Source organism: Homo sapiens, chromosome 4 (genome assembly GCF_000001405.40).
Source record: "Homo sapiens chromosome 4, GRCh38.p14 Primary Assembly".
Lineage (NCBI taxonomy): Eukaryota > Metazoa > Chordata > Mammalia > Primates > Hominidae > Homo > Homo sapiens.
The window spans coordinates 181,375,313-181,395,136 of NC_000004.12; the positions used below are offsets into that span (position 1 = coordinate 181,375,313).

Sequence of the window (19,824 nt, forward strand, 5' to 3'; positions counted from 1 at the left end):
CAGCAGAATGCCCGAGGCAACCAAGCATACCAAAATATACTGCACAGAGAGACTTTTACTACTCCTGCTATTTAAAGACCTATTTTCATGAGCTTATTAGCTACTAGTGATCCCGAAGGAGAAATACAATTAAAACTTAATCATACCAAAAGCTGGGATTCTTCTGATTCAGCGAACTTGTAATCTATTATATTTAGTAGTTTACTTGTAAATGTCTGAAGGCTGAGAATGAGAATCATATAAATGGACTTCATTCCGTAGTGATACAACTGCTTTGAACTCACACCACAGGACTTGCCTTTTCTGCATGTACTTCACTCTGTCGGACCCTCCCTTTTTCTTTACACTTTTCAGGGTTTCTAAAGTGTGGCATCTCTCTTCTCTTTTGTGAAAGCACAATAGCTTCCGTTCCCTTTAACTGTCATATTACACCATTCCCCAGATTTCACATATGAAATTAAATCCTTACAAAATAGATGATGCTGAAGAATTTGATCCCACATTAGCAAGTCAAGTCAAGAGTTGAGAGATACAGAGAAACCACGCTCAGATGATCCTATATTTGCGTAGGAGCTCGGGTGAACAGGCGGATTCTATTACTGAGAATACTAAGAGGACAACGCTGTTTCATTTACAAATATTGATTCTCATGCGTATCCCTACCCTCACCCCTACCATCACCACTGCCTTCTGTTATGGGATAACGTGAGCTTCCTTAAGGCCACGTCAAATAGAAAGAAGCAATGAGAGAAGAAGGGAGGGTGGACGTTGCTTTCCATGAAGTTTTCACTCCAGGTGTCATTCAGGGGCCACTCCACGTGGTTGTTGCGGAAGGCAGCCTGCTTAGAGTAAAACACGCATGGCAGGAGACACTGGGCAACCAGGGATTCTGCTGGTCTTGCAGCCACTTGCCAAGTCGTTTCCTCTGTGCAGCTTCTGTGGGGACATCGACAAGCAGCTTTGCCGGCAGCTGGTGCCACAGAGGTGATCTTCTTATCCAGCAGAGAATCAAAGCCTTTCAGAAGGGAAAGGAAGAATTGAAATGGTTTGTGTGTCGCTTGGGAGCAGAACTTGATACTCTAATGGGTACTTTCATTCCATATTTCTTTAGAGTCTACTAGTTTTAGGAACTGAATTTATTTCAAAATGAGGCTATGCAAGTATTTTGACTCAAATTGTAATTATTTCTGTATTCTCTCCTATCTTTCTATAGGGAAAAAGCACAAAGAACACTGTACTTGGGGTTCTCACTACCAAATTAAGGTTCACTTATAATTTTGACTAAATTAAATGAAAGAACAAAGATAGCAGCCCCAAAAGAAGAATTATAGGTAAGACTATAGGCCGGGAGTGGTGACTCATGCCTGTAATCCTAGCACTTTGGGAAGCCGAGGTGGACAGATCACCTGAGGTCAGGAGTTCAAAACCACCGTGGCCAACATGGCGAAACCCAGATTCTACTAAAAATGCAGAAGAATTAGCAGGCATGGTGGCGGGCACCTGTAATTCCAGCTACGCTGGAGGCTGAGGCAGGAGAATCGCTTGAACCTGGGAGGTGGAGGTTGCAGTGAGCCGAGATTGAGCCACTGCACTCCAGCCTGGGCGACAGAGTGAGAGTCCATCTTAAAAATAAATGAATAAATAAATAGACTATATAGGCCACATTATTAATGGCCTAAAGGATCTCATTAGTACTTAGGTTTTGGGTAGGGTCTACCAATAGCTCTCCTGATAAGGGGATTTTCTTAGGGAGAATCCAGTACCAATATCTTTACTAGGATTCTCTTGCTTTAGTCTTGCTCCTAATTTCTACTTCTTTCCTTTGACTTTTTTATTCTTCTTCTTCTTCTTTTTTTTTTTTTTTTTGAGACAGAGTCTTACTCTGTCACCCAGGCTGGAGTGCAGTGGCACTGTATCGGCTCACTGCAACCTGTTTCCTGGGCTCAAGCAATTCTCCTGCCTCAGCCTCCTGAGTAGCCCACCGCCACGCCTGGCTAATTTTTTTATATTTTTAGTAGAGACAGGGTTTCACCATGTTGGCCAGGCTGGTCTCGAACTTCTGACCTCAGGTGATCTGCCTGCCTCAGCCTCCCAAAGTGCTGGGATTACAGGCATGAGCCACTGCACCCGGCCCTTCTTTTTTATTCTTGTCATCACACTCTGCCTGTTCTTATGATTTAATGTTTGGAAAGTTTTGCCATTTAGTGTTAGATTTTTTTTTTTTTTAGTCTATCTTGAAATAATTGGGACAAATTGTCACTTATAAATACACCATTTTTGAAAAGAATGAGTGGCAACAAAACTATCCAGTAGTACTGACGAGCTCCATTCTCTCCTTTCTGTACAAAAAGAGAGCTAGACTTTTCCTGCTGGGGCAGAGATCATTTGTCTTCTTACACAGCCCTAGAATTCATCACCATCAACTTTAGGAAAATTGTTCTAAAAGTGACACAACTGTGCATTGATTTACACAAAGTGTTTACAGATCAAACTTGTACAAGAGGATAAAAATATTTCCATTTATTCCTTTTCCATTAATAAATTACCATTTAAGTTTTAATTCATGAATTATCATATTAATAAATTACCTACTGTATGCCAGACACACTTCTTGGAACTTGGGAGATTCCTGTGAACAAAATAAACAGTGAATGATCCTTGGCTTTATAGGGCTTACATTTCTGGCAATAGATATAAAATAGATAATAAGACATATATAAAATAAGCTTTTATACATATATATGTATATAAAATAGGCTCCAAATTTGAACAACATGTCTTCTTGTTATTTACCCATAAATAGCACCTAAATTAAAAATGGCTTATGTAGAAAGCTTTAACTGTTATTCTAAACAAAAACAAGAAAGACCATGTCTAGACAAACAGCTAAAGTTGTGTGTGTCCATTCAATAACACTTACGGAGTGCTTATTATTGACCAGGCAATATTCTGAGCATTATTTTCTCCACAAGCTTATTTTACACTTCAAATATCTTTTAAGATAGTCATTACTATTATCTGCATTTTACAGGTGGAAGTACTTATAGGTGAAGCATTGAAGTTAAACTACATGTCCTAGATAATAGAGATTACTATTTTCTCTTTCTCATATTTAAAACGATACTAATACTGTTTTCCTCCTTAAGAGGACCATGTGAAATTCCTTATTCACATGAACTGATGTTGTCTGAACCATGATTGAGGTCCTCCAAAAGTTATTCCCTTTATCCCTTTCTGCAATATTCAGGTTACATGATAGAATTCGACTTCTTTTCCTTCTGTACTTATTTATACCAAATTCCAGTTTATCTTGCATGTAATTTTATTCCAACTTCCCTTAATTAACGATCTGCAAAACAATACTCCAGTTTATGTAATATAAAAATAATAGCAAACATTCACAAAGCATTTCCTATATTCTAAGTTCTATTTAAAAATCTTTACCTATATTAATTCATCTTAATATTTTTGATAGGTAATATTATTATCATCCCCATTAGGCAGACAAGGAAACTGAGGCACAGAAGAATCAGATACTTTGACTGGGATCCACATGTGATGAATGTGGAGCCCAGATTCAAATGGAGACATCTGGGTCTGAGGGCTTCTGCTCCGAAGTCCTGCATGGACATGCTTGTATATATTTATACCATTAAAGGAGTCAGTTTCAAAAATTGAGTCTCATTATGGGGAAAATTTGAAGATCCATTCCATAGCTTTGGATATTTGGGCTTTTTATACATTCAAACAACGCTGAGGTCAGGAATCAGTGTCAAGCACTCAAAGATAAATATCTCTTTATGGGCTAACACTTCCTTCCAACCCAAAATGCTGACCACTGGGTGCCTTTCTGTCTGGTGCCACATTTTCACCAGCCACATGTGAAGAATTGCCTTATAATCTCGCAAGTTTGCAGGGTCACAGTCCTGCAAACATGCTAATTAGCAACATTTCAGATCCAAAGCCTGCGAAGCTAAGCACAAATTATAAACCTATTTGTGTGTGTGTGTGTGTGTGTGTGTGTGTGTTATAAACCTAACCCAACTGGCTAAATCATATTAACTTTTGTGAAAAATTTGATCCTGGGTTATGATTTGTGACATACTATGAATTTGAAAATCATACCAAACTGCGTCTGGAAAGAAGAAATATAATTAATAGGTTTGGAAACCCTTTTAACTTTTAGTAACTGTAATCAGTGATACATTTCTAGCAGCACATTTTTTTTTTTTCCTACAAGCTGTTTACAAAGGAATTGTACTGCGACACACTTCATTCTGATTTGTTTTTCTCTTTTAATGCTGTTGAAACAGAATTTGTTCTCAGCCAGTGAAGGATAATCTAACATAAGGCTTTTACAGATATAAAAGATTGGCTATTATCTCTTTTTGCCTTCAGACACTTAAAAAATACATAAATATTGAAAATGTTCAAGTACCCATTTATACATTATTACTGAAAACTAAGTATTGGCAGGTATTTCATTCACTGTATCTTGCATTTCACAAAATTCTGAAATTTCAAATTTGCAGGTAATCTTGGAAGATGGAGGAGAGGTTGTTATTTTTCTCAGCTTGCCTCATTTTATCTGAGAAGCATAAGGGGAAATGATACACCCAGGAGCTTTATTAACCACCATAAATATAGAACCTAGAGCTTATTTCTAAGATTTATCTATTCTGAAAGTATCAATACTACCTAAAAGCAAATTATTATGAAAAATGGTTGCTATTTTAGCTATCTGCTCATCATTTCTCTTGGAATCTTTGTTCGGAGCCATGGATATAACATTCCAGAAAATAACAGCAGAGATTTCTTGTCAATCTTTCATAGACCTTGGTTATCCTCCACCGTCATCAGGGTTTTTCATCGACCTTGACATCAGATCTACCTACGGACATTGTTGTTCGAAGCAATGATCATAAAGCTTTTTATTGAGTGCTTAATATGTCCTGGGCATTTTGGTAAGCACTATACAAACGTTATCTCAATTAATCCTGTCAACAAACATACAAAAGAAATACTATTCATATCCTCATCTTAAAAGTGTGGAAACTGCCAGGTGTGGTGGCTCATGCCTGTAATCCCAGCACTTTGGGAGGCCGAGGCAGTGGATCACGTGAGGTCAGGAGTTCAAGACCAGCCTGGCCAACATGGTGAAACCCTGTCCCTACAAAAACACAAAAATTAGCCGGGCATGATGGTGGGTGCCTGTAATCCCAGCTACTAGGGGGGCTGAGGCTGGAGAATCGCTTGAACCCAGGAGGCGGGGTTACAGTGAGCCGAGATCTCACCACTGCACTCCAGTCTGGGTGACAGAGACTCCATCTCAAAAAAAAGAAAAAAAGCAAAAAAAAAAAAAAAAAAAAAAAGTGAAGGAACTAAGATCTAGAGAGGCAAGTAACATTTGCCAAGTTCACATGGCAAATGTCACCCATGAATATAATTTTAGTTAATTTGGCTTCAGAAGCTAAGTCTTAACCCATTAGGCTATTTTGATGAGAATGTTCTTGAAGCCGTCAAGGTGGTGCATTTGAGGGCGTATTTCTGTAGTGGCACTTATATAAAATGATCGCTGAGAAATCTCCCAATTTTTATTTTTATGAAACTTGAAATAAAATTGGAGACATATTTCTATTCAATCACAAAAAGTAACTTCAGTAGATTGTGTTTCCATGAAGTAATTAGAGGTCTGTGATAAATTAGCTAGTGAACTATATTTTGTTTATTATTTTCTCTCTAAAGTTTCTTACCTCTGCTCCAATATGGTATGAACTATTGTACACAAGAGCCTATCTGAGAATAATAGCCTCAACCAGACTTGGAATCCATATATCTCATTGCAAACTAGATTGATTTACTAATTGGCTGCCAGTAGTGGGCGGATGTTATTCATTCCTTCGGATGTCCTGACAAATCACCAAAAGTCTGCTGGCTTAAAACAACAGAATATTCTCTCCCACCTTTGGAGGCCAAAAGTCTGAAATCAATTTATCAGTAGGGCCACACTTCCTCCGAAGACTGTGGGAAGGAATCCTTTGCCACTTTCAGCCTCTGGTGGCTGCAGGAGTTTCCTTGGCTTGTGGCCACATCACTTCTCTTTCTGCCTCCATTTTCACCTGGCCTTCTTCTTCTTCTCTGCATCTTATCCTCTTCTCTGTATGCCTCTAGTAACGACACTTACCATGGGCTTTAGAACACACTCCAGTGGTCTCATCTTGAGATCCTTAAATTAGTTACATCTATGGAGACCTTTTCTCCCAAGTCACATCCACAGGTTCTGGGAACTAGAACACGTATATTAGAACACATAAATATATTGTGGTGGGGTGGGGGCTATTATTTTCCAACAGCAGTGGAACATGAAATATGAAATGATCCTTAGATTTCTGTAGACTGAGGACTAGAAGTTGAGTTGGACCATTAATTGAAGGAAGGCAAACAGAAAGAAAGAAGCACAGAGAGATGAAGAAAGAGAGGATGTAATGTGTTTTATTGTGGACCTATTAAGATTGGAATACTAGTGTTTAGTTTGTAGCTCCAGAAAGAGGTCAGGATTGGAAAGAGAGATTTTTGTAACTCCTTATCATTCATCGAAGGTAAAGTCAGGAGAGTGTTTAAGTTTGACTAAGGAGAGATAATAAGTAAGCAAAGTGGGATGAGAAAGAAATGAAAGAGAATATCACAGGGCATTGCTTTCATTAATATAATGCATTATGGCAGAAGAGGGGAGCTATCAAGAGAGACTGAAAAAGAGTGTTCAGTTTGGGGTAGCCAGAAATAATGTATTATGTGAAATACATGGATCATACAAGAGGGGAATCCAGGAAATGCAACAGAGGAAAGGTGAATTCAGGATGATGCCAAATATAAACAGCCTATTTCACAATGGTATCAGAAATCACATCTGTGTATTGCTAAAACCTCACCTCTATCTTCTTTACCCAGTGCTTATTCATTGAATATTAACTGTCAGTTGGATTCCATACCTTTTAATTTCTCTCTAGCTTTTTATTTGGGTCCTAGCATGTGGACCAGAATGCGGTATAATTTTACTCTATAGCAAACTGACCAGTATGATAAATATCTGTGGTTGTCACTGTTAGACCTGACCCATGGTCCCCATAGACCAGAAGGTTCTGAGTGACTGATTTTCTTCTCCCTTTGTGTACGTGAGGATAGTTAGTGATTCTGTCTATTAGACTAAGCAAGTAAATAACCTTGGCCCTTTGGGCCACAAGGATGACAGTGGCAGTAGGCTCAAGTTGCCTCCTGTCATTTTGTTGGCTTTTTTCTTCCCAACTATTGTTTTGTTTGGTTTTGATAAAAGTACAACTTTGAATTTATAGCTTAAGAAAACTTATCTGTATAAACCTTGCACCTAAACCTAGTATTGGCAGTGTTTCTTAAACTTGTATCATTATGGTCCCCCAAACGAGCCTTTTTAGATATTTTCTATTCCTAATTACCATGTACCCATTAGATTTTCATACCAAAGATATATGTACTGTGCTATTTGGAGAAACAAAAACCATGGTAATATAAGAACTTTTTTTTGGTAACCTTCCCCTTTTAAACCAATTTTTTGCCCCTATAAGTAATACCAACCTCCCCAGAAGGCCTGGATTAGGGTCTTCGTGTTAAAGTTCGTTTTAGCATCTGCAATGATGAATGACGTTCTAGTCCACAGAAGCATTATTTGGCTTCAAATTAGGGATTATTTTATGTCAGGGAGAGCATATTTTACTTGCTTTTCCTCCACTGTAGATATGGGCACATTATTAATACAGCTAATGAAAATTTAACTTCATAGATACTTATTGCTGAAGTTAAATTTTTATCACTATTACTTATGATTTAATTTTAATCAAGTGCCACACTGTAGTGGGTGCCTCCTTCAGTCCATGCCTTGACAAGATGTATTGCTCGGGAATGACCTACGTTAGTCATCTACTGGACTTAGTCACACAGAAAGGAAATTCAAAAGCATTCCCACCTATTAATATCAATCTTTACTTTTTTAGCTGTAATCATGGAACCCCATTTGAGACTATATTCTCAGTACATTAATTGAAGATATGTACTGATTTTCCACCCCCCAAACTTGCTTCTTCAAAAGTATTCAGTAAATAAAAACTACTTTTTGGTGTGGTTGCTCAGGTCAGAATTTTTGGAGTTATTCTGTTAGCCTAACTCAGTCTGTACAACCAATTACCAGTAAACCCTGTCAACTCTGCCTTCAAAGCAAAGCCAGAATCTTGCCACTTCTAACCCTCATCATAGCCCAAGTCACAATTGTCTCCCACCTCAATTATCATAAAGCCCTATTTACTGTATGCCTGATTCCATCCTTGCTCTTTACAATCTGATTTCAGCATCACGCCACAGACTCTGTTAAAACTGAATTGATGCCATGTCATCCTTCTGCTCACAACCAACCAATAACTCCCATCTCGTTCAGTGTAAAAGCCGAGTCCTCACCGTGGCCTCTGAGGCCCTGGGTGATGGGTCTTCACTGCATCTTCTTTCCTCCTCCTGCTCACTTGGCTCGGGCCACATGGATCTCTTGGTTCTTTCTTGGATGGTCTAAAACCATTCCCACCTCAAGGCCTCTGTATTATTATTTAATCCTCATGTGTCCTCATGGTTTGTTTTCTCACCTTCTTCTTACCCCAAGTCAAATATCTGCACATTAGTGAGGTCTTCCCTGGCCACCACGTTTTGTAAATAGCCAAAATGAAAATAGAAACCTTTTGGGGATGCCTTGTCCCTTATTCTCTTATTTATTTTTCTCTCAACGTTTGAACTAACAACATGTTACATATTTATAAAATATTCTTCTATCTCCACCCGCCATAAAGTCCTGCTAGGACACAAATTTTATCTTCTTTTTCATTTCTGTATGTCTAATGTCCAGCAAATAGGTGCTCAGAAATATTTCTTGAGTGCAAACCTCCAATTACATTTTCTCATGGATTCTATCTACTACTTAATTTATATGAATTAAATACTGTTTTCAATGAACTTCAAAATCACTCTATCATATGGGATCTAGTGTTTGCTCTCTTCTATTCAAACCCAAATAGCTGTTGCCAGGAGCTGTTGTAGTCAAAAGATATGAGAGTGAGGAAAACAGACAAGGTCTCTGCCCTGTGGCTTACAGTCTTTTGTTCTATTTGCCTCTGTCCCTCTTATATTTTATTAACATTTTTAGTCATTAAGCCTCATCTTAATGTAGTATGTACATCTAATTATCTCATATGGACTAATATCCCAGCATAAATAAAAATACGAATTTTCTTATTAAACATTACTTAATAAACATTTTATATTCAAATGATCAGTAATGACAATTTTGTTTTATAATAATATATCCATATTTGACTTGATAAAATGCATTGTATTATGGAGCAAACGTGCACTTGTGTAATTGGGATCAATTATTTTTGTCAAGCACTGTTAACTGACCTTTCAAAACTTAAACACTGAAGTGGTAAAGATTCGGATTACAGTCATATTTTTATCCTCTCTTGCTATTTATTTCTGATACCTAAACACAGAAAATCATTGCCAGATCCTAGGGTTTTCAGAAGTATGGTTTATTGACAACACAAGCATATGAATTTTTCCCTTTTTATTAAATGTAGAGCTTGATTATAAGTGTACAGGCAGTATCTTCGTTTTTTATTTTTAGTACTATGATATAAGCATTACAATTAAAGCTTCCGTGTTACGAGAATTTTTCTTTCAAGTCAACTGTTTCTGTATAATTATCTCTGAAATCATGAGACAATAGATCATATATGAAATACATATAAGAGTAATATCAAAAAAAGTCAGGTAGCATTCCTCCTTCACTCATTCTGCCACAACCCACCATGTGTGGCCCAGTTTTTTGTGTCTTGAGTTTTCTTGTGAATGTGAATCAAATTCACAATTACACAAGCAGTTATTCACTTTATTTCTGCAAAGCAAAAGTGGAACATAATAGAGAGTACAGTTTGCACTACTTTCAAAGGTACCTGTCCATTACTGGATTTCTCTAACAGTAAAACAGTGTTTTTCATATTTGCATTAAATATCTGGGTTAAAAATTCCTTTCCATACCTTATGTTCACTGTGATGCTTATTTTCTTGCTATTATAATCATATACCTTCTTTGTCTCTTCTTTTACTCTTAAAACAAAATATTAAATAATTGGAAGTATCCCTGCACAAATGGTATCACCTGTAAAAATCTGCCATAATAAAGAGATTTTTAGACGAATAAAAATTGATATTTTAAAAATATGCCATTTAAGAGAAACATCCCACCAAGAATTTAACAAATATATTTATTGTCAGAAAACTTAAACATGTTAAAGTACAACCACCAGATGACATAATCATTTACATAGAAATGACTTCGTTCATTTGGAAAACCCCAAGCAAGAAAATATAAAAATTAATTAGACTCACACTAAATTTTTTCTGTTGTTTTACATGCACATCTTATTTTGCCCAAATCTGGTCATTTAATATAGTAAATGTACTGTTTTAATATTAGAGTCTAGGGGCTAAGAAACCTGAATTACTTCTCTAAAGGTTCTTTTCATGTTGACAGCATAATAAAGCAATGATCCTATTGGTGTAATTAATTTTTAAAGCATTAAAGATTTAAAATTACTCAAGTAAAATAACACAAGAAATGCACTTCCTTTTCCCAGAGTTAAGTCCTGTATTCCTGACTGTAACTTTGTGTTGAATTTAGAAATGTTAGCTTGCCTCGTTAATTACCTCTCCAATGACCACCTATTTGGCTAACCTTAAAGGAAATATTAATTACCTGATCTAATATCTTGCAGGTGCATATTATTAAAGAAGGCTATCACTGTGCTCTACTTTATCTTTGCTGTAGCAAATATCTTACTATTTTGTGTGATATTAAAATGGAGATTTTGCAGTTTTGAAGTTTGCATCTGAGCAAATATTAATAGTGGCATGCTGCTAGAAGCTGTCATGAAATGCACACAAATTGTGTGACTGCTAATCTTTTTGAGACATTACACCACAAGCAGCAAGGCAGATATTGTCTGTTTCTTCATTTTAAGGCATGTTTAAAGGATGTATGTCAATTTTATTGGGAACTGTCCTTGCTTAGGCTCCAGATCAAAGAAAACTTGTTCTCATCCCTAGGTCATTAGGAAAGATTGCTAGAGAAAGTTAAATGTGAATGAGGAATCAACATTTGAGCCAGAACTATGGAGACATTTCAAATGTTAAAAAAAAAAAAAATGATTTAGAATATGTAGGACTTTGATACCAGAAGTTTTAAAAATATTAAGTGGAGATAAATTTATTGGTATGTCAGATTAGTTAGTAGGAAATAAAAAGAAAACTTAAGCAATAAATGAAAGTAAACAAAATAGCTCAAATACATGTACAATTGATTTTATGTAACCTTCTTGATGAACTACATACTAGAATTAATTTGGGGAAGTTTTCAAATAATGCATGAACACGAAAAGAGGCTAACTGGGTCAATGCATACATATACTCAGATATATATGAGTCAGATTATTTGGGGAAAAAACATCCAAAGGGATTCCAAAACAATGATTTAAAAAAAAAAATACACAGCCAGGATTTGGAGTCTTAGTGGGAACCACCTGGGCAGTTTGGGATGAAGGTTAAAGGACTTATTTCGCTCTTCTTTTAGTCTTACCTAAACTTTACTGAAAAGGACATTTACAGTGACAATGGAGGCCCATCTCTTTTATCCCTCTGAACCACTTGAACAGTGGCTCTAATTTCCAGAATCATTCTTAGTGTAGTGATGACACTGGAGATCATGGGCCCCCGGCACAGTGGCCATGAGGTTGGCTGCAGCACTTTTTATCAGCCAGAGGGTCCAGCTGAGGATCAGAGACAGCGTTCCAGGAATGAATACCCAGGGGCCACACATCACAGGCGAAGGCACAACCCTTTGCAGTTACCTACCGAGGTCTTCCTCAGAGCCATCAGCTGAAGCTGGGTGCTCTCTGCATCTCATTGTTCCAAATACTTGCTCTATTAATAGCCTCGAGTGTAGCTCTTTGTTGGAATAAGCTATTGTTAAGCACCTAAAGTAGTATGAAATTGGTGAATAAAAATTTTCCAGGTTTTGAATTTTATTCCCTATAATGCTAAATAAGAGAGATAGTAGCTCACCTAAGATTACAGAGTGGGATATCTGGAAAAGCTATAGACAGGGTTTTCAATGAAAGATAGTTAACTACAATTAAATGGCTATGTTGGTCAGGCAATGGCAAGGCAGACTATACTGTAACACAGAAGCTATGTGCATCGTCTTCACCTCACCCTTGGGACCTGACTTGGCATGGGATGTAATCACTTTCTTAGCCCCAGTATCTTATTTGTTTAAATGTAGGGATCTGAATCAGGTGACGTGTTTAGCTCAACTTGTTAAGATTTTATAATCCTGTTTCCTAGATTATGATCCTATAATCTTATCAGGACTACCAAATAGTTGCTGCCTTCAAAGAATTACCATCTAGTTAGGGAACAAAATTAATACAATAATCAAGAGCTACACTGGATGGCAAATACATTTAGAACAATGAAAATATCAATGTTAATTGTCATAAAATTGAAGAGATCGGAATCAGGAAATTTGAGCTGAGGAGAGAGAAAAGTGTCCCAGGCAGGGGAACAGACATAGGAAGGCTTTTGAAGAGAATGTTAGAACTCTGAGGAAACAAGCCGGATTACAAATAAACTGAAATAAAGGAGTTTAGATTTTATAAAGCAACCTAAAAGAGAAGTTTCTTAAACAAAAAGTAACACATTGAATGCGATATTTCAGAAATAGTAGTCTGACAGTGGCTAAGGATTTATTCATTCAACAAATATTTATTGGATGCAAATTATGTGTCATGCACCCTGCCAAGCACTGGAAATTCAAATATGAAACAAGCAGACACCCATTTTTCACCATAAGGAAGGCCCACAGCCCAGCAGTGGTCAGAAAGAGATGTAATACCCAGTATTTTGGAATAGCACCTAACCTAGCCTGGGAGGCAGGGTAAGAGAAGGCTCCCAGGAGTTAGTGATCTTTGCTTTGAAAGCAGAACAGTTGGAATTAGCCAAGAAAGGCAGGTGATATGCATAGGATGGTTGATGTGGGAGTGTTCCAGAGAGGATAACCGTAAATGCTACATTTCCAAGGAGAAAGGGAGTCAGTGCAGGAAAATAAACTAGGGCACTATGATAATTATTCAAGCCTGGGCTGATAATCGTGTAGGACAAACTGGTAGCAATAAAAAATGAAAGTAAAATACAAATATGAGAGGTATTTCATTATAGTAATAGGTTCCAAATATAGAGAGAGTCAGATACTAAAATTTAAGTAGTTGAAATGTAAATAAATCTTCATAATTTGTTATCCAAATATACCAATAAAAGACACGCAAAATGCCTTTTCTTTTGCCTTTATTTAGCTAATTAATTAATTTTTTTTTTTAAGAGACACGGTCTTGCTTTGTTGCCCAGGCTCCTCTCAAACTCCTGGTTTCAAGTAATCCTCCCTCCTCAGTCTCCCGGGTAGCTAGGATTACAGGTGCAAGCCACTGAGCCTAGCTTTGCCTTTATTTTAATATGCACATAAGGATGAATTGTAGATTGTACAATTCTTACTTGCCATCTTGAAAATATAGAAAAAGCTTTTAATCTGGGCTACTGAATGGATAGAATTTTAGAAATATAATATCCATATTACTTTGTTAACTTATATCTTAGGTCATTGTTGAAATGCCATTTGCCGGAGTTGGAAAGTTCATTTTGGTTTTCTGTATATTTACCTCTTAGATAATTATTTGAAATCACTGATTTCACTTTTGTTATTCTTTGCCTTTCTCATGTCCATATAGCAGATATAAAACAGTTGGCCCTCAGTATCTGCAAGTTCCTCATCCCACAGTTAATCAACTATGGATCAAAAATATTGCAAAAAAATTAAAATAACCACAATAAAAATACTTCAAATTTTAAAACAATATATATGACAATTATTTACATAGCATTTACATTGTATTTTGACATTATAAATAATCCAGAGATAATTTAAAGTATACAGGATGATATGCATAGGTTTTATAAAAGGGACTTACATAGGGTATGGATTTTGGTATGCAGGGGAGGTGTTCTGCAATCAATTCCCCTGAGGACACTGTGGGGCAACTATATAAGTAAATGGGTCCTTTCACATCCTAGGATGAATGCCCCAAGTAAAATATCCTAGATCTTATACATGCCTCTGTTATCTACCTATCAAATGACTACTTCCTAAATCTGGAAAAAGTTTCGTTTAACTCATGAGTTAAACAAAAAAAAAAAGTTCATTTATGGACTTCTGCAGTGAGTTCAAAAACAAAGAAGTTAATTTTAAAAGCTCATTATATTGAGTTAACAGTGAATTAAAAAACCAATGAAATTAATTTTAGAGCCATTTAATTTAGTTCAGGAAAGAGTGAGACTTTTATTAACTTAATTATTTTGGAATTCACTGTTTTAAAGTCCAATAAATGTTATGTATTTTATTTCCAATTAACTTCATTGCGCTTGGAATCATATTTGCTTTCTCCATGTGGCTAAATTTCACCTCTCATTTTGCATATAGGCTGACTGTTCACAAACGGACTCGTCTCCCTGTATTAGATATGAGTATATTGCATCTTGAAAGTGACAGTAGAAACAGGATTTAGCATTTTGTTGACTATTACTTTAGTTACCAGAATTGACTTATTCCTGTACAACAGAAGGGTAGCAAACCAGCAATTTTCTAACTGTGCCTTTTGTCAATGATATAAACTACTGTGTGGTCTTTATCTGTGATATTCTACCTGATCCACTTGCCAAAGTATAGGCATTAGTGTAAAATAAAAATTTAGGAAATTGGGTTGTACAAAGGGGGTCATACGTCAGTTCTTTTCATCAGATTTTAACAAATGAAAATCTAAATGAGACATAATAATTTGATCTATAAAAAATTGTGTTTAACTCTGAATTGTATATAATCCAAAAGGGAGTTTCTACGTTTACTTTTAGAGAGATTTTGGAGGGGATTAAAAGGAACTGCTAAGTGCCTCAGAGTGTGCAGATCTTAAATTTTACATTTACATTTGCCCATCTCCCATTTCTTCATCTATTATATTAAAACGGGGGGGGGAGTTCTTTATATTATGTCCAGTGGAAAAAATAATCTGTTAGCTGACATTTATTCAAAGATTAGCTAAACCTCAAAATCCACATATTATTTTCTTATTTTTGGTCATGTGTTATGTTGTGCCATGTTGTTTTGGGTTAGCAATCATCTGAAAAAACTCAACATCTTTTATCTGCTGATTTGACTTCTGTGTAAAATGAAAAAAAATAAAATTAAAGTTTTACCTCCCTGGTTGAGGCTGAGAATGGGGCTGTCAGACAGGAAGCCTGGTTAGGGCAGCAGCCATGGAAAACTTCTCCACTAATTGGCTGACATTCAGAGCTTGAGGATCAGCAGCTGTTGAAGCAAATTTAGTCTGGATATAAGGCAGATTTTTCATTTATTTCAATTAATTACCACACACATCAAAACCTCTTCTAAAAAATTCTCAAATGAATACCTATAAGGAAGAAAGAATGCTTAGGTATGCATAGACTTTTACTTACTCTTTCAGAGCTTTCAAGATATGACCAACTTGTTTTTACTCATCTAGAAACGTGACCTTTTGTAGAAGTATGAAAATAACATATCTGTACTTCAAAAAGAATTTCAATTTGATTCAAAGGACAAATTGCTAATGGTGAAATATAGGTATTGTAAAGCATATCGAATATGCGGGCAATTGCATGCGTTTAGTGTGTATGTCTCTGTATGTGGAAATAATGCTACTATAAAACAATGGAAAATTGTCACTGCTGCATGCTTATAACAGCTATAAAGCATACAGCATGCATATTGCAATATCTGTGCACTTTACAAAAAGTTCTTTATCTGGAAGTAGTGTAATTCTGTATGATGCAGTGCTCTAATTAGAATAGTGTTGTATTGGACAGAAAAGTAACTAGGCCACCCCAACCTACACACAGTAACTAGTTACTATAGAATGTGTGGTGTGTATCACGTGTGCTTAAAATGTATATGTTTTTCATTTTACTATAACACTTTTCTTTGTGTATACGAATTAAAGGTACTCACTTATTGTGTGCCTAACAGCTGCTTTAAAAGAATACGAGAGGGACATGTTAATGCAATACAAAATCATTTGTGTATACAAAGTTTAGTTTAAGAAAATGGGACTACATTATTATCGCAATTAGATCATTATTTATTGTTGCAATTCCTAAATCAAACTATGTCATATTCTTGTCCAGGCTATTTTTGTGGATTACAAAATAGCTTTATATCATGAAGGTATGAAGAAAATGAATTCCATATTATATGTAAATAAAACACTCAGGGTGTATATGTATGTGGCCACATATTTTAGGTGAAGAAAAATAGAACACTCAAACATTTACCCAAATAATCCAGTATATCTTTGTTCTCTGTTTGAATCCCAGAAAATTCAAAATTACTTCAGTGAGGGAGAAAATTAGGATATTAATAATGACCCCCACCCCCCAAAAATTTTTCTCTTCATAACATTTTTTACTATAAGCCCATTAAAACATTTTTAAATTTTAATATTATTATGCAGCATTTGGGACATACAAAAAATAAAGTGCAATAATACCCATATACCTATTATTCTGCTTAGAAAATCAAATTTTGCCAATAATTCTATCCCCTTTTGAACCCTTTCTATTCATTTCCTCTATCTTCCACTGTGGAACCGAATTAGTTACTACAAAAACATGTTTTAAATGACTAAATTTCATTTTCTTTGAAAATAATGAACCAACTAGCTACATTAAATGGCTAATAAGAAATCTAGATTTTTTCAAATAAGCAAAGTTGAACCATCTTAGTTCCAGAATGTTTTACTTGTACACCTGCAATGCAATAGAAGTCTAACAAAACCCAGCCTCCAGCAATTATTTGTTTATTTATTTATTTTAAGAAGGGAAAGGAGGGGAGAAATATCCCAGGGGTTGCCTGAATTACCTAGGAATATGCTTTCAGTTCCCTCCCCTCAAGTCTTCACAGGGGGGTTCTTGCAAGTGTAGTTCTTTGAAACAATGTTTAGCTAATGACTCAAGAGGACTACTCAGAACCATTGAAGAGCACCTCAAAAACAGATGCTAAATGGACTTTTGTCAGGTTCTACTAGTAGAGCCATCAGCAGCACATCAAGTTGGAATAAATTGAATTGAGATCAACAAAGGAGCATGCTGTTTATGGATGGTATCAAATCAGCTTTCCCTTCCCACTGGAATTCAGAGACAGCATATCATAGGATAGTGAGTATTCCTGGAAATCCAGTGCATTTCCTAAGCTAAAGGAGTGTTTAAGAATTACATGGTGTAGGTTTTATTTCTTTTAAAATTTTATTACTTGAATATAACACAATTATTGTGTTAGTGGATTAATCCTCATCATGATCTCATAATTTGCATTGCCTAAATGAATAATTTATGTTCTAGTAAACAAATCTATAAACAGAGATGTTTTTATTGGGGGTGGTGGTGATGAAACGTGAGCATCTGGCAACCACACCTTGATTCATTTTAGCCCCTAGAGTCGTGGTATGGCGCATTAATTTCTCAGTTTGTAATTTACCAGCTGCATTTAATGGAACCAATTTTCATTACATCTGTTCTATGGTTCAAAGAGCTCTTTTAGTTGCCAAAGGGGGCCAGCGTCACACAGATTCTGAGAGGGGCTAATACACTGTTTCTTGAAGTATTAGATAACCAAGGATGATTCCTAGTTTTACAGCAAACAAATTATTTTGACAGAGGCAAGTTTTATATTCATGACTTAGCCGTTGGTAGATTTCAAATTAAAAGTATAGTGTGCCCTTTTCCCAGGAATTACATATTGATTTTCATGTCATTTTCTTCATAATACCCACTGATCGCCTGTCTTTACAATCAGTGGTAGATTTATTGTTTACTAGTTAAAGGAAACATAATTATGCTTAAGTAAATCCTCTTTGTAAATTACAGGTGGTTAGAAGATGGGTATTTCTTAGGCAAATATGGAATTTATAAATGGTTCTTACATTTATTATAGTAAGCATTATTTACGGACAAGAAAAGGTCATAGCTCTTCATAGTGTATAGTGGGAACATTTTTAATAGTAGAAATGGTTTTGCTTGGGCAACTTAGCATTCTTGGTGTGTAATTTTAATCTCGTAAAAATATGTCACTGTTGTGTAATACCAAATGTAGGATTCCAGTTGAAAGCAACTTTCAATGCAAAGGGTTTTCTCATGGGCAGAAGAGAAATTTGAAATGTTCTACAGTGCTTTGAAGTTCTAAAGCTTCAGCTGGGAGAATTATAAAGCATTAAACCTGAAAAGTTTTCACCTGATGGTCATGAAATAGCATGCCAATATGAAAACTGACTGTTTCACTTCCTCAGGCAATTTTTTTTTCCTTTTCAAGAGTTTCAAAAATATCATGGATCATGTTACATTGAGAAGATCATCTTAGAAAGACTTTATTCGTTTGAAATCATTAAAGTACATAACATAATTATATTTATATATGAAGCTTCAATGACATAATCTGTTTGTACTGGAGTTTCACTGCAGTTGGAAAAGTCGAGTTTGTACCAAAATTAGAGGTAACTTTACGTTTTGTAACCATGTTCAAATTATCATTTATATATCTGTCTAAGAGAAAAATAAGCAGTTTGCCACTATTATAATCCAAATATATAGTTGTATGTTACAACTTACAGCTTACCTAACAAATGTACATGCATCTCACTTGAGTCTCACCTCAAGTTGAATGACCTGGTCCATGTCACAACGGAGGAAGGTGATGAAAATCAAACTCAAGATTTGTGACCCCAAATACCAAACCTTTTCTCTCTAAACTATCCTCTGTTATTACTGACTTATGGTTAGGTTATAATTTCAAATTTTTAATTCTAGCATTGGGAAACACAGGTAAGGCAATATGAATAATTTTCAAACACAATAATTTGGCATTACAAGAATATATTCCTTCCATCAAGCTGAAAATATAATTATGACAACTAGTATTACTAAAGACTACTTACTGGCCCCTGAAAATCCAGCAGGCTTTAACAGTATGGCTACACAAAATGTGAAGACAAAGCCACCGCTTCCTAGGAAACCAGATAAAAATAAGAGATTAGGCATCATTTCAGGGGTATGCTTAGGCAATGCTTGATATCATGTCTGGCTCTCAATGACACAGAGGCATTCTAAAGTCAAAATCATTTGTTCATCCACAAAGAAACAGTTACCGTGTTTCTCTAATCACCAAGTGTTGCATTTATTTGAGTAAATAGAAATCAATAGGGTCTGGGGTCTGTCACCAAGTTCAAGTCTAAGAAGAAATATCAATTGTCTCATGTATGGTACAATATTTAATGAACAAATTCAAACAAGCAAAAACAAAAACACTAATATGAGACAATTTAATCACTGTTAAATGACTATAATTTTAGTGTCTATGAAGACACTTTCATAAACCAATTAAAATATGTATGGAATATCTACTATAAATTAAGTCTAGGTGCTGAATGATAGAGATGTTGTATAGCAATTCGTGATAAGATCCTTGCCCTTAAAGAATTTACTTCTACTTGGGAGGATGAAGTAAGCAAATCTATGACCTGATGAACATCATAGTGGGATTGAACCATTTCTATAAAAATTACAATA

At 35.7% G+C, this 19,824-nt stretch overlaps 2 long non-coding RNA genes across 2 annotated transcripts in view; both read right to left on the minus strand.

Moving 5' to 3' along the window:
* Positions 1–419: 419 nt before the first annotated feature.
* Positions 420–13,897, minus strand: LOC107986205 (uncharacterized). Its single transcript, XR_001741489.2, has 5 exons — positions 13,839–13,897; positions 11,980–12,101; positions 10,108–10,238; positions 2,589–2,629; positions 420–1,015 (listed from the first exon to the last, which is right to left on the minus strand). It is a non-coding gene; the product is annotated as an uncharacterized LOC107986205 (long non-coding RNA).
* Positions 13,889–19,824, minus strand: part of LOC124900822 (uncharacterized) — a 38,107-nt gene continuing 32,171 nt past the window's right edge. The window contains exons 2-4 of the long non-coding RNA XR_007058402.1: positions 19,194–19,262; positions 15,427–15,538; positions 13,889–13,965 (exon numbers count right to left, since the gene is read on the minus strand). This is a non-coding gene — a long non-coding RNA (uncharacterized LOC124900822). The remainder of the gene's footprint in view (positions 13,966–15,426; positions 15,539–19,193; positions 19,263–19,824) is intronic.